This window comes from Homo sapiens, chromosome 5 (genome assembly GCF_000001405.40).
Source record: "Homo sapiens chromosome 5, GRCh38.p14 Primary Assembly".
Taxonomy (NCBI): Eukaryota; Metazoa; Chordata; class Mammalia; order Primates; family Hominidae; genus Homo; species Homo sapiens.
In genome coordinates this window covers 66,368,954-66,384,660 of record NC_000005.10, presented here as the reverse complement: position 1 = coordinate 66,384,660, position 15,707 = coordinate 66,368,954, and the positions used below count along the sequence as shown (strand labels likewise).

General features: G+C 39.9%; 1 long non-coding RNA gene across 2 annotated transcripts in view; it reads left to right on the top strand.

The window, feature by feature from the left end:
• The window catches only part of LOC105379003 (uncharacterized), a 92,996-nt gene that overhangs the window by 55,766 nt on the left and 21,523 nt on the right, over positions 1-15,707 (top strand). The gene's annotated exons all lie outside the window — the stretch shown is intronic.

Below are 15,707 nucleotides of genomic sequence, written 5' to 3'. Positions count from 1 at the left end.
AAACCCCATCGTCTCAGACCAAAATCTCCTTAAGCTGATAAGCAACTTCAGCAAAGTCTCAGGATACAAAATCAATGTACAAAAATCACAAGCATTCTTATACACCAACAACAGACAAACGGAGAGCCAAATCATGAGTGAACTCCCATTCACAATTGCTTCAAAGAGAATAAAATACCTAGGAATCCAACTTACAAGGGATGTGAAGGACCTCTTCAAGGAGAACTACAAACCACTGCTCAAGGAAATAAAAGAGGATACAAACAAATGTAAGAACATTCCATGCTCCTGGGTAGGAAGAATCAATATCGTGAAAATGGCCATACTGCCCAAGGTAATTTACAGATTCAATGCCATTCCCATCAAGCTACCAATGACTTTCTTCACAGAATTGGAAAAAACTACTTTAAAGTTCATATGGAACCAAAAAAGAGCCCACATTGCCAAGTCAATCCTAAGCCAAAAGAACAAAGCTGGAGGCATCATGCTACCTGACTTCAAACTAACTACAAGGCTACAGTAACCAAAACAGCATGGTACTGGTACCAAAACAGAGATATAGATCAATGGAACAGAACAGAGCCCTCAGAAATAACGCCGCATATCTACAAATATCTGATCTTTGACAAACCTGACAAAAACAAGCAATGGGGAAAGGATTCCCTATTTAATAAATGGTGCTGGGAAAACTGGCTAGCCATATGTAGAAAGCTGAAACTGGATCCCTTCCTTACACCTTATACAAAAATCAATTCAAGATGGATTAAAGACTTAAACGTTAGACCTAAAACCATAAAAACCCTAGAAGAAAACCTAGGCATTACCATTCAGGACATAGGCATGGGCAAGGACTTCATGTCTAAAACACCAAAAGCAATGGCAACAAAAGCCAAAATCGACAAATGGGATCTAACTAAACTAAAGAGCTTCTGCACAGCAAAAGAAACTACCATCAGAGTGAACAGGCAACCTACAAAATGGGAGAAAATTTTCGCAACCTACTCATCTGACAAAGGGCTAATATCCAGAATCTACAATGAACTCAAACAAATTTACAAGAAAAAAACAAACAACCCCATCAAAAAGTGGGCGAAGGACATGAACAGACACTTCTCAAAAGAAGACATTTACGCAGCCAAAAGACACATGAAAAAATGCTCACCATCACTGGCCATCAGAGAAATGCCAATCTAAACCACAATGAGATACCATCTCACACTAGTTAGAATGGCAATCATTAAAAAGTCAGGAAACAACAGGTGCTGGAGAGGATGTGGAGAAATAGGAACACTTTTACACTGTTGGTGGGACTGTAAACTAGTTCAACCATTGTGGAAGTCAGTGTGGCGATTCCTCAGGGATCTAGAACTGGAAATACCATTTGACCCAGCCATCCCATTACTGGGTATATACCCAAAAGACTATACATCATGCTGCTATAAAGACACATGCACACCTATGTTTATTGCGGCATTATTCACAATAGCAAAGACTTGGAACCAACCCAAATGTCCAACAATGATAGACTGGATTAAGAAAATGTAGCACTTATACACCATGGAATACTATGCAGCCATAAAAAATGATGAGTTCACGTCCTTTGTAGGGACATGGATGAAATTGGAAATCATCATTCTCAGTAAACTATCACAAGAACAAAAAACCAAACACCACATATTCTCACTCATAGGTGGGAATTGAACATGGACACAGGAAGGGGAACATCACACTCTGGGGACTGTTGTGGGGTGGGGGGAGGGGGGAGGGATAGCATTGGGAGATATACCTAATGCTAGATGACAAGTTAGTGGGTGCAGCGCACCAGCATGGCACATGTATACATATGTAACTAACCTGCACATTGTGCACATGTACCCTAAAACTTAAAGTATAATAATAAAAAATAAAAAAAAAGAATGTATGTTCCGCAGTTGTTGGGTAGAATTTTCTGTAAATATCTGTTAAGTTCATTTATTCTAGGGTATAGTTTAAGTCCATTGTATCTTTGTTGACTTTCTGTCTTGATGATCTGTCAAGTGCTGTCAGTGGAGTATTGAAGTCTCCCACTATTATTGTGTTGCTGTCTCCTGTCTTAGGTCTAGTAGTAATCATTTTATAAATTTGGAACCTCCCATGTTAGGTGCATATATATTTAGGATTGTAATATCTTCCTGTTGGACTAATCCTTTTATCATTATATAACATCCTTCTTTGTCTTTTTTTTTTTTTTTTTTTTTTTACCGTTGTGGTTTTAAAGTCTGTTTTGTCTGATGTAAGAATAGCTACTTCTGCTCGCTTTTGGTTTTGATTTGCAGGGAATATCTTTTACCACCCCTTTACCTTAAGTTTATGTGAGTCCTTATGTGTTAGGTGAATCTCTTGAAGACAGCAGATATTTGTTTGTAGATTTTTATTCATTTTACCATTCTGTATATTTTAAGTGGAGCATTTACACCATTTACATTCAACGTCAGTATTGAGATGTGAGGTACTGTTCTATTCATCATGTTACTTGTTGCCTAAATACCTTGGTTTTTTATTGTGCTACTGTTTTATAGGCCCTGTGAGATTTATGCTTTAAGGAGGTTCTATTTTGGTGGATTCCAAGGTTTTATTTCAAGATTTAGAACTCCTTTTAGCATTTCTTAGAGTGCTGGTTTGGTAGTGGCATATTCTCTCAGCATTTGTTTGTCTGAAAAAGACTTTGTCTCCTCTTCATTTATGAAGCTTCATTTTGCTGGATACAAAATAGTTGGCTGACAATTATTTTGTTTAAAGATAGGACCCCAATCAAAATCTGCTGTTGATCTGATAGGTTTTTCTTTATAGGTTACCCAATGCTTTTGCCTCACACCTCTTAAGATTCTTTCCTTCATCTTGACTTTATATTACCTGATGACTATGTGCTTTGGTGATTATCTTTTTGTGATGAATTTCCTGGGAATTCTTTGAGCTTCTTGTATTTGGATGTCTAGATCTCTAGCAAGGCCAGGAAAGTTTTTGTCAATTATCCCCCCAAATCGGTTTTCCAAACTTTCAGATTTCTCTTCTTCCTCAGGAACACCAATTATTCTTAGGTTTGGCCATATGCCATAATGCCATATTTCTTAGAGACTGTTAATTTTTTAACTTCTTTTTTATTTGTCTTTGTCTGTTTGTGTTAATTCAAAAGCCTTGTCTTCAAACTCTGAATTTCTTTCTTCCACTTGTTCTAGTCTATTGTTGAAACTTTCCACTGCGGTTTGTATTTCCCTAAGTGTGTCTTTCATTTCCAGAAATAGTGATTGTTTTTTCTTTGTGATATTTATTTCTCTGGAAAATCTTTCAACGATATCCTGTATTGTTTTTTAATTTCTTTAAGCTGGTTTTCACCTTTCTCTGGTATCTCCTTGATTAGCTTAATCATCAACTTTCTGAATTTTTTATTTGGCAACTCAGAGATTTCTTCTTGGTTTGAATCCATTGCTAGGGAGCTAGGGTGACATTTTGGGGGTGTTATAGAACCCTTTTTTTCAAATTACCAGAATTACTTGTCTGGTTCCTTCTCATTTGGGTAGACTATTTCTTGAAGATGTTTTTGAATTTATTTTTGATTGGAATGTGTGTTTTTTTTATTTCTTGTGTTTCCCTCTTGAGGATCAGACTTTAGTGTTTATTTTAGCCTAATTTGTTTCTTGATGATTGTAGAGGTGAAGACTTTGTATGAGTTCCTTAGTTATAGAGTGTCTTGGTGCACTGGCTTTCCCCAATGCTGGTTGTTGTATTTATGCTCTTGGTGTGTGGGCAAGTTCATTATCTCCTATGGAGTTGGAATGTCAGGGATGTCTTGAAACTTATCTTGTTCTCATGGTGTACACTTCGTTTATTTAATTTTACCCCAGTACTTTATTTACTGAGTTGATGATTCAGACTTCAGGCCAGTAGGAGAGGTAACCCTGGGGAGGCACCGCTTATTGCTAAGGTAGGTAAGTAGATATAATACTCAATGGTGGGCTGAGGTCCCAGCCTTGATGAGGGTGGCTGGAGGAGCTCTCAATTAGATGTGTTGAGGTTTTATCAGGGTGAAGAGTGGGGGCTACCTCAGCTCTCCTGCCAGGCAAACAGTAAAGCTATTGACCTCACAACTTTACTCCTGTTCCAGTGTTTTGGCTATTCAGATCAGACAGGGAGCTTTTTTCATCTATAGGAATGTTGATGTTCCAAGTAGGGAGGAATTATGACTCTGCTGCTCATGCAGGCCTGAATCTGTGGGGTTCTCCTCCTGTGGGGCTGTGCTCACCCTGGATTGTTCCAGGAGGGCTGTCTACAGGTGCATCCATGCTGCACATTCCTGTCAGGGCAGCCCAGGTATGTCTGCAGTGGAGTGCCAATGGGGAACAAAGACTCCTTTTCCAAGTCCCTTCATGATTACAGAGGCTGCCTGCCTGTTGGGGTAGAGGTGCAGACTTTCCCCTGCTGTGCCCAGCACTCCCATTGTGTCTCTGTTGTGAGAAACTTCTCACCAATGGAAAGATCTGGACTCAAGGCCTGCTGTTCAGAGTCTTTTGTCCCATGGGGTGATCCCTTGATGTGGTGCTCTGTCCCTTCCCCTAGGAATGGGGCTTCCTGAGAGCTTGACTGCAATCATTGTTATTGCTCTTCTGGGTTGAGCCACCCAGCAGAGCTACTAGGCTCCAAGCTGGTGCTAGGGAATATGTGCAAAGAGTCCAATGATGTGATCCATCTTCAGGTATCCTAGCCATGGATACCAGCACCTGTTCTGACAGAGGTGGCAGGAGAGTGATGTAGACTCTGTGAGAGTCCTCGGTTGTAGATTGGCTTAGTGTACTGGCTTTCTTGAATGCTAATAGACTCAGGACTTCTGGTTAGCCAGGGTGTTGCAGGCAGTGGTGTTAGCTGTTGTTTTCTCCTTTCTGGGCGCAGGGCTACTCTATCATGAGTTGCTGTAATGGCCTAGTTGGTTTGCCTCCAGCCAGGGAGGTGGCGCTTGCAAGAGAGCACTAGCTGCAGTAGTGTAGCAGAATTTGAGCTTTCCCTAAGTTGGCCAGGGGAGGTCTTCTGGTTTCTCAGGCAGTGAGTGGGGCCATAAAGCTCCCATGAGTTTGTGTCTTTTGTGTTCACCTACCAGGGCAGGTAGAGAAATACCATCAGGTGGGGGCAGGGTTAGGTGGGTCTGAGCTCAGACTCTCCTTGGGTGGGGCCTGCCACAGCCACTCTGGGGGATGAAGGGGTGGTTCTCAGGCCAATGGAGTTATGTCCTAGAGGGGAGTATGGCTGCCTCTGCTGTGCAGTAGAGTTTTCAAGGACAGTGGGGAATAGCCAGTAGCTCTAGGCCTCACCCAGCTCCCATGCAGTTGGTGAGTCTGGTCTCGCTCTTGCAGTGCCTTGCTAATGGCACCAAGTTTAGATCCAGGCAGACTGTGCACATGGAACTCACACCTTACCCCAGGCCATAAGCTACCCCACTGAGAAAGCAAGCACATGGCTTTCAGGCCTGCCCCTCTCCTTCTGCCTACAATGCTGGGCGGTCAGCTCTTACAGGCATATCTGCAGCACTTCCCACTTGTCCCCCAGATTCTGCTCAAGGGAGTTTGTGCCCACTCAAAATTATGTCATAAAATTCAGTTGGAAGCTTCTTTCACCTGCAACCCCTCTCTGAGTTCATGGCTGCCTTTCCCACGAACCCTTGTGAGATACAGTCAGGGATGGCTTCCCTGGGCTCAAGCTGGAGACTGGGAGGGCTTACCAGGCTCTTCCTGCTGCTCCTTCTGCTTTTATATTTCATGCTGCTCCCCAAATCTGTTCTGGCTCTAAGTAAGGTTAAAACCTTCTCCCGTGATCTAGATTTTTAGATTTCCCCAGTGGGGATGTTTGCTCACAGGTAGGCTGTCCCCCTCTCCCACTCTGGGAACTCAAAGTTTTTTGCCTGTCTCATGGAGTTTGCCACTTATTTCAAAGGATCTGTTTATTATTTTGGTTTTCCTGGTAAGTTCCTATGGTGATTCTTGGAACGAAAGTTCACAGTGAGAGTCTCCACACACTGTTCTGTCCTTCAAAGTGGGAGAGGCATGCTGGCACTGCTTCCTATTTGTCATCCTGGAAAAAAACATTTTTTGCATTTCTGTGCTGTGTATTGGTGATTTCTCTGTTTAAAATGGTCCTCAAATGTAGTGCTGTTTTCCTGAGTGTAGCAAGCCTGTGATGTGCCTTAAGGAGAAAATACAGTGTTAGATAAGCTTCCTTCAGGCATGAGTTAGTGCTATTGGCCATGAGTTCAATGTTAATGAATCAACTATATATTAAATATCTTTAAATAGACATACACCTAAAACAAAGTTATGTACTCATTGATTGACAAAAATATTATGACCAGAGATGCTCAGGAATTCAACACTGTATTTCCCCTTGTTTAGTACCCACTAATTTGGTGTTCATCATGACTTTATAGGACATAATTCCCATGAATAATGAGTATCAGCTATACTTTCATTTATTTTGAGAGCTATCTTCTAAAAAGGACATTAAAATAAAAAAAGCTGTCTTCTTGTCTCCAGATATAATTAGTTGCATACTTCAAAGAAATCAAAACAAAAACAATACTCTCATGTAAATACCCACTTGGTCTTACATAAAACAATCTTTTGTTCTAAGCAAAACATTTTAGGAATGCAATAACTAATTGGTGGAGGGACACATGTTAGTGAGACTCTTAGTCACAGTCAATATTTATTGAATGGCTCCTGAGCTCCTCCTATGAGTAACTCTAGCTAAGGCACATTTTGCAGTAAATGGATAAAAACTCTGAAAGAATAATTAAGATTCCAGAGAGTAAACTAAGATTCATATGTGTTCATGAGTCTTTGAATGAAAATATTGAGCAAGAAAGAAAGGCACAATCATAAAATTATTCATATAATGAAGGCCAAGGGAAAACAGGACTCAACATGAATACAGTCTTTGAGAATGCATCTATTGTATGAGGAGATTCAAATGCATGTTGTCTTGTTAGGGCACAGGGTATCCCCAGAAAGCTTTGAGCCCCAGAGAGGTGATGTTAGATATGTGGAAGAGGACAGGCAGTATCATCTGTAAAAGGTCAGTCGCTACCATCAGCCAGACCAGTGTCTGGGTCCTAGATCCACTTTACTGGCTCAGTGACATGGCAAAAGACACCCTTTGCATGGGCCCCAGTTTCTTCATTTATAAAATGGGAGTAATAAGAGTAATAATACAAATATAAAAAGACATTTTATGAGTGCTGACTAGGCGCCAGGCACTCTGCTGGGAGCTTTTCATGCATTACCTCATTTAATTTTCCCAACTGTCCAGGTGACTGCTATCACTAGCCCCACCTTATACAGGTGAAAAGAAAGTCAGAGAAGTTAAACAATCTTGCCAAGAATTAGGGCTGGCAGAGTCAAAACTTGATCCCAGGTGTCTGACTCTATCTAATCATGTTGTTTGTGAAAGTTAAATGAGATAATGTATATAAAATGCTTAGCACAATGCCAGGAATATAATAAGCACATATTATACATGTAATAAAAGATCCTTATTTATTTATTTATTTATTTATTTTTGAGACAGTCTTGCCCTGTCGCCCAGGCTAGAGTGCAGTGGCGCAATCTCGGCTCACTGCAACCTCCGCCTCCTGGGTTCAAGCAATTCTCCTGCCTCAGCCTCCCAAGTAGCTGGGATTACAGGCACCCGCCACCATGCCCAGCTAATTTTTGTATTTTAGTAGAGACGTTTCACCATGTTGGCCAGGCTGGTCTCGAACTTCTGATCTCAAGTGATCCGCCAGCCTCAGCCTCCCAAACTTCTGGGATTATAGGTGTGAGCCACCGTGCCTAGCCAAAACATCCTTTTAAATAAGAATGTCCAACCATATTTCCATTCTCACAACAACCAACAGATCAACAAGAGTTACCAACGGCTGTGTAGAAGGTTTGTGTGGAGACAATATACTGAATTCTCCTGCAGCTGAAAGCACCACAGGGAAGAGTCCTTTCTACCTCACCAGGAAACGCATTCCAAATAGCCCCCTGGAGAAATTTCTATCTATCCTCATGAATGGATGTAAATTGGGAAATCAGACCCAAGATTTGCTTTTAAAATCTCTCCCGGCTGGGCGCAGTGGCTCATGCCTGTAATCCCAGCACTTTGGATGGCAGAGATGGGCAGATCACCTGAGGTCAGGAGTTCAAGACCAGCCTGGCCAACATGGTGAAACCCCATCTCTACTAAAAATACAAAAAAAATTAGCCAGGCATGGTGGCACGTGCCTGCAATCCCAGCTATTCGGGAGGCTGAGGCAAGAGAATCGCTTGAACCCAGGAGTTGGAAGTTGCAGTGAGCAGAGTTCACGCCACTACACTAAAGCCTGGGTGACAGAGCGGGACTGCATCTAAAAAAAAAAAAAAAAACCTCTCCTGTAGAGGTTAAAACTTCAGATGGCTTATCTCAGCCCTTCTTAAATCTATTTGTTTAATCAATCTGATATCGTTAACTTGTTTTTTGTCCCAGTTTCAGATATAACTATATTGTTTTCATGAAAAACATTTTAGGTACAGAGTGAAGCCAGCTGTATAAGCCAAGCTTCTGACATGCTAAAACAGAACACATTTTGGTATCTAAAGGTTTTCATCCCCTCTTGTAGGAAAGGGAACTAGAGAGAAAACAAAGCTCTCTAGAGTACCATATTTACTTACATAGTCTTCTTTCGCATTTAATACCTGTTTCATCAAGCTATCACAGTCAAGTTTCTCCTAGTCTAGCATTTTAAGCTTGGACGAGCGTAGTTATGAGCAGGGATTACTGATTGTCCTTTTATCTTCTGCAAACAAGAGGACGGCTGGCCCTCACTAGGCCTCCAGGGGTTCCTGGCAACTCCAGCCACTCATGAGGTGGAAGAATACACGGAAAAAGTTAAAACAAATGAAGATATTTCCTCCTCAACATTTGGAAACCTTCTGCTGGCCGAGAATGCCTGAACTTGAACAGTAAGCCCTGAGAGTGAGTCCAAAAGAACACCCTGTGGCATTAACAAGACTGGACAGATAACATGTATGCTAATACGGAACAATTGCTAGCATACACTGTTAAGTGAGAAAACTCAACCATATATATACAGTACTACTATTTGAACATCTATAGAGTTGTACATCTATAGACTCTTTGTCCAGAAGAATACACACAAAACTAGCAAGAGTGGTTACCTCAGGGGAAGGGGCTAAGTGTAGGGGTAGACTTGTTTTTCAACCTATATCATTTGGTACTTTTGAATTTTTATTATAAAGAAGGTTTAAGCAATCAGTTGTAAGTTGGAAGCTGCATTGAGAGCAGCAATGACCTCCTATCTGGATAATCTGCTCTCCCCAACTGCGGAAGATCAGAAAACTGGGGTGAGATGTGTCCTCAGGGTAGAGAAAGAGAAATCTAAAAAGAGTTCTGATAAGACATTTCCCAGGTTAACATCCATGGCTTTCCCTGATCACATCCTCCTGTAAAGACTTGTCCTCTTCACATATTAGCACAAAGGATGCAAAATGTAAAGAGAGTACCTAAAAAGTAACAAACAAACCTACCCCAAAAAAGCAGTTTAAAAAAAAAAAAACCTATTCCAAAAAAGAATCATTTCAGAAAAGATAAGGAAATTGTATATTCTTTTACTCTATTTATAAAGAAACAGAACTTAGGTTCTTTGGAGAAAGTAAAGAAAAAAACCATAGAATCAAAGATTATAGGATGAAAGAATAAAAAGAAATTTTAAAATGAACTGAAGAAGTATTGGAAGAAATTTAAAATAATACCAACATAGGAATAGAAATCAGTCACATTAGAGGTAGCAAGAAGAAAATATAATACTGAAAACAGGAATATGGAGGTATAGCTCAAGAAATTCATACAAAATTAAATGGAAAATAACAGATGATGAAAGAGATTATAGAGAAGATACTTGCATTAGAAGTAGCCAGAAGAATAGATGATACAGAAAATATAGTCATTGTAAGGATGTTCTTCATGTCTACGGTCTTCCTAATGTGGAGAAACAAATATTCAAAGATATAAAAAAGCAAACCTGAAATACAGAAAAATATAAAAATCTACTGACTACAATCTGTAGAACATACAATTTTTGTTCAAGGAAAAATACAGTCTCAAGTTTGAACCCTATCTTAGTGAGGACCCTGAAGTTAAGAATAAAGAAAGAGTCCTACAGGCATTCAAAAATTAAAAGCATGTTCCCCAAAAAGAGAAAATCCCTGACCTCAGTCTTCTCGATGGCAACATTCAGTGCAAAAAGTTGGTGAAACAATTTCTACAGAATTCTGATGGGGAAAAAAATGTGTGGCCCAAGAAACACATGTTTTATGTTTAAAAGTAGCAGAAAAATAATTTTAATAATGTAAAACTCTAATAACATAGCACATACATGAGTCCTCAAAAAAAAAAAAAAGACACTTGATGATAAAATCTAGCCAACCCAACCCAAAGATAAGTAAAAAGTGTTTAAAGTCATGTCATGAATGGGAAAGTCATGGATGAAAGAAGTGTTGGTGAGCACTGAGTGTATAATAACGCTCCCAGAGCTCAGCTTGATATACTTTATAAATCTCGGTAGTATAAAAAAATAATAAAAAGTAAGATGAGGGGAAGGAGCTGGAAGAAAGTATGAAATATAACTTTTCCTCTTCCTTTATGATGTGGTATGAAAACTGTCCAAGATTGATAAAACAAAAATTAGAAGTTTAACTATATCAAAATTTCAAATATTATTATTAGAAGACAAGGAAAAAGAAAGCACAGAACAAATAGCAAAAAAAAAAGTAAGGAAACAATATAAATAGAAAATATAAACATACTGTAACCAAATAAATAGTGTGACAAAATTAGATGTAACCCATATATCTGTTATTTAAAAATATACAAATGAGGTAAACGTACCTACTAAAAGAAAAAGACTATCAGTCTGGATTAACAAAACTCATCTATCTTTCATGGTAATAGTAAATATATATATACATAGAGGACTTGGATAGAAAATTTATGGTACATTCATATGATAGAATATATGACAGTCATTAAGAAAGATTTTGATATATAAGAAATGATGTAGAAAGAAGTCCAATATAAATAAATAGAAAAATATTTCAAGAATAATACATATTATCCCAATTGTGTTTTACAAAAGATATATGTTGTGCACATATACTTTTATACATTTGCCTATATAAATGTGTTTGCCTATGTATAAATGTGTGTATATTCAGAAGTTTAGCAGCAGGGGAGGGGGACTGGGGACAGAAGTTTACCTCATAAGGAGGAGTATTTTATCCCTGACATTGTTCAGAATTAGTGGTGCATGGCACTGATAAAAAGTATATTTACAGCTGGACATAGTGGCTCATACCTGTAATCCCAGCACTTTGGGAGGCTGAGGTGGGCAGGTCACAAGATCAGGAGTTCGAGACCAGCCTGACCAACTTGGTGAAACCCCCATCTCTCCTAAAAATACAAAAATTAGCTGGACGTGGTGGTGGGTACCTGTAGTCCCAGCTACTCAGGAGGCTGAGGCAGGAGAATCGCTTGAACCAGGGAGGTGGAGGTTGCAGTGAGCCGAGATCGCACCACTGCACTCCAGATTGGGCAACAGAAAAAAAAAAAAAAAAGCATATTTACTTTTAGAAGGTTGTGTTATTTTTTACAATTCTTTTATAACAATGCACCTCCTTATTGCCTGCACCTGGGGTACTCCATTCCAATCTCCTTGCTCTCGGGGTGTGTGTGTGTGTTTGTGTGTGTGTGTGTAACATCTAGCATAAAACACAAGTGTGTGTGAGAGTGAATGTGTATGTGTATTTTACAGCTGGACTCATGGATAACACCCAGTTAATGGTGTCACTAAGGAGTACAATTAGAGGATGTATAAAGAAGAGAGAGCTGACAAACTTTTCTGTACTATATGAAAATTTTACAGTGGGAAATAACTATTTACAATATAGTTTTTTCAATAAGAAAAATAAGAAGAGTTCATTTTATTAATAACAAAAATAAAACAGTTGTGCGTGGGAAGTAGTAGTTAATGTACTTGAACACTAAATTTAGTTTGGTGCTCCTGCCAGATGTAGCAAAAACGAATGCAGCTTGGGCTACCCAGAGTTTCTTTCAGACAAAAGAAAACATACTTTTTCTTCCATTTTCCAATACCTAGCCCAGAGCCTGGTGCACAAAAAAACATTCCATAAAGGTTTGGTGGGAGAATTAATACATTAATCTGGTCAAAGATTTTTTTTTCCTATCAATGAATTTTAGGAAATGTAACATGACTCGTATAACCAGTAACACTTTCAAAAATAAACATACAAAAAATACAAAGACACTTGCAAAATGACCTTTGTTCCATCAACTCTCAAGACTTTCAAAAGCATAATATTCAGTCTTAACTCCTGCTAGACTTTTCTTTAAGGACCTCAAAAGCATTCACTTGCTGCTTCCTGAATTAATATACAAATGGTACTTAGAGGATTCAGTGAAAGTGACGTGGAGCGTGTCCCTTAGACTATCTCCTTCAAGTGACAGATGTCTCGAGTAGCCTTTAGCAATTGCTAGCTTGCAGACAACTTCCAGTTGAGTCTCTCACAAGTGTGAGAAGTGCTGTGTTTGTTGTTGTTGTCTAAAGAGTCATCCATTCTCCTTAGACAGCTGGTGAGCTGGTGACAGAGTTGATGTTGCATTCATCTGCTTAAGGACTAATTTGCTCATTCCTGTGGCAGAAATAAAGTGGGTTCTTTTTCTTGTGTCTAATGGGAGTTTACAAAAAGAGCCAGACTCACAGTGCAGGCAAAAAACCAATTAAGCTTTCATTCTACTTCCTATTCTCCCCAGACCCAGTGGAGAGGAAAAGGAAGTGTCCCCAGATGAAGTTAGGAGTTCAGGGTTATAATTTCTTACCACCTAGGCAGTTATGCTCACATTGATGGCAGAAAGGGACAGGTGATGCCATCTTAACATTTCATGGAGTCCCAGCAGGTGAAACAGCAGTGGCCAGGACCCAACACAGATCCTGTTGGCTTAAGCTGACCCCAAGAGATGGACATTGGGCTTCTCCTCAAATGAGACCACCTGAGTATGGTCCTGACTGTTGCTGAGTGACACTTTCAAATACAGGCTTACAAAATATACACACACAGCTAGGAGACGATCATGCAGTAATATGCTTATCATGGCATTGGCACAAAATCAAACTTCAGTATTCCAATAGTGCATTAGCCAGGCTCATATCTAAGGCTACGTACTTTTCCTACTCTACAAGACAGATTGGTGACCAAAGACAGGAAGTCTCATTGCACAGTGGCATTTTCATAGAGCTACCCAGGCCATAGGGAAGATTGTTCCAGGGATCCCTACCATAATAATTTTCTGTTGTGGATATTTATGGACTTAATTTCTACTTAGATATCAGATGAATGGAGGCTGACCAGAGAGGTAATGGCAGAAAGAACTAACATTTCTGTCCTTAAAGGGGGCTTTAAATCCTCTTATGAATTTGGAAACATTACCCCCTTCAGGGATCTGCCTCAATGACACTTTCTCCAGATAGGCTTCTCCGTTATCCTTTCTTTTTGCTCCCCATGCAGGGATGGTGGTGGGAGGCTCTGAACTGGAAATTCTAGGACATGACTAGACCTTGTGGTAGATGTAAATGGACCTGAGGAGGTCTAGCCATCTGTCTCTCTCTCCTCTTCTCTCCCATGCTCCCTGTTTCATTTTCTATCCTTTGATGGGCTGAAGAGTGGTCAGAAGGTTTGGGTTTTAGGGGAGGTAGAGGTTCCCTTTAGACCTCCAGCCTAAGCCACAGACTTCCTCAGTGGGGTTTCTGGCACAGCATCACATCATAGTAACTTTTCTTTGCCATCGTCCTCTGGAAATATGCTTTCCTTGTAACGTCACAGAGGAAGGGAGCTGCTTAGAGGTAGGGCCATGAGTGAGTGCCCCATCCATAGCACCTCGCATGGCACCTTGCATATAGTGAGCAAGCAAATATTTGTTGAGCTGAGAGAGTTTGAAGTCTGTCACATGTAAGGAACTAAAGTTCCTGGTGAAAGTGACCTTGGTTTCCACAGTGACAAAGCATCAGGAATGGCTGCATCAAGGAGAATCCTCTGGAAGTCCTCTCAAGTGGAGATGAATCAATTGAATAGAATGGAGTCTGCTAAGATAAAAAGTGTTCCATTCCAGTCACTTAAAGTTCCTCTATGGCTGTGTTTTACAAGGTGTGGTATGTGTCCCCATGTAGGTATACAAGAGGACTTAATGCTTAACGTGTACACAAGCAAATATTTTATTATAATAATTGTTCTGAATGTATTTAATATTAATTAGGAAAAACATAAGTAATATATTCAAAAATATGATTCCACAGATACTACTTATTATAATAAGACAAAAGTGAATATTATGTTATAGTTGTTTCAGTAGATTTAAACAAGTTAATAATAATAGCATAATAATAAATACAAATCATAGTCTAGGTGATGTAAAGTCAAAATGATAAAGATGAGTGTATGAAAGATTGAAATTAGAGAAACACTACCCGTATCCCCTTAAGTTCATAATATGTGCTGCTTGCAGACCTGGCCAGTAGCAGAAAGTTGGAGACCTCCTATGATGGTCAAAAATCACCTTAGCATACACCCTGAATGGCCTTTAATAACTCAGCCACATCCAGTAGCTCTACTGAGTTACTTTTGAGGCTGTACTTATTGTCCTCTAGATGGAATCTTTCTTCTTCATCTCTGCAGAGTTTCTAAAAGAGTGTCATGTGGTGTGGCTGTCCCAGATGGCTGGCTTTGCAACCTAGAAGGCTTTCCAGGAAGAGGCGGAAGATCATATGGATCGTATGGGGGATCTGGGCTCTATGGAGATGGCCTACCTTGTCTGTGCCTGGGATAGCCCCTGGGCTGCACCCCTAGCTTGGGACTTTCTATTTCCCATTTTAAAATATGAAAACTGGCTGGGTGCAGTGGTTCATGCCTATAATCCCAACACTTTGGGAGGCAAAAGCAGGAGGATCATGTGCGTAAAGGAGTTTGAGATCAGCCTGGGCAACATAGTGAGATTCTGTCTCTATAAATAAAGTAAAATATTTATGAAATTTAAAAAGAAAAAGATGAAAATTGGTGATATGATGCAAATTTTTTAAAAGAAATATAACCTAGAACTGTAACAAGTAGAGTGATAGGAGTAAGATGAAGTCTGCTGAGATGAAAGAAAGCCCAGCGAGTAAGTGCCCAGAGCATGTGAGGAGTCAAAGCTGAGCCATGGACTGGCAGGCTGAGAGCCTTTGAGGCAGGGCCAGTCAATCACCAAGCCTAAAAGAAGTAGCTCTCAGGGTCCATCCTAAGGCATGATTGTGTTGTTTTAGAAGAATAATAGCTTGAGAAGGTATTAGGTTTTACCTTTAATGGCAAAAACCACAATTACTTTTGCACCAACCTAATAAAATGTTAATGGCAGTGAACTATGATGTCACAGTGAGGATGAAATCAAGACTGGGGATGCAACGTAGAGAATCCTGTCAAAATCCTAGTACAGGCTAAACTCTGTGAGCTGTGATCAGAATACTTGGACATTCTGGCACCAAGGGTGTGGTCAGGAATGGAAACTCCTCCCCAGGACCAGACAGTCCTAGGTGGAGACCTAGG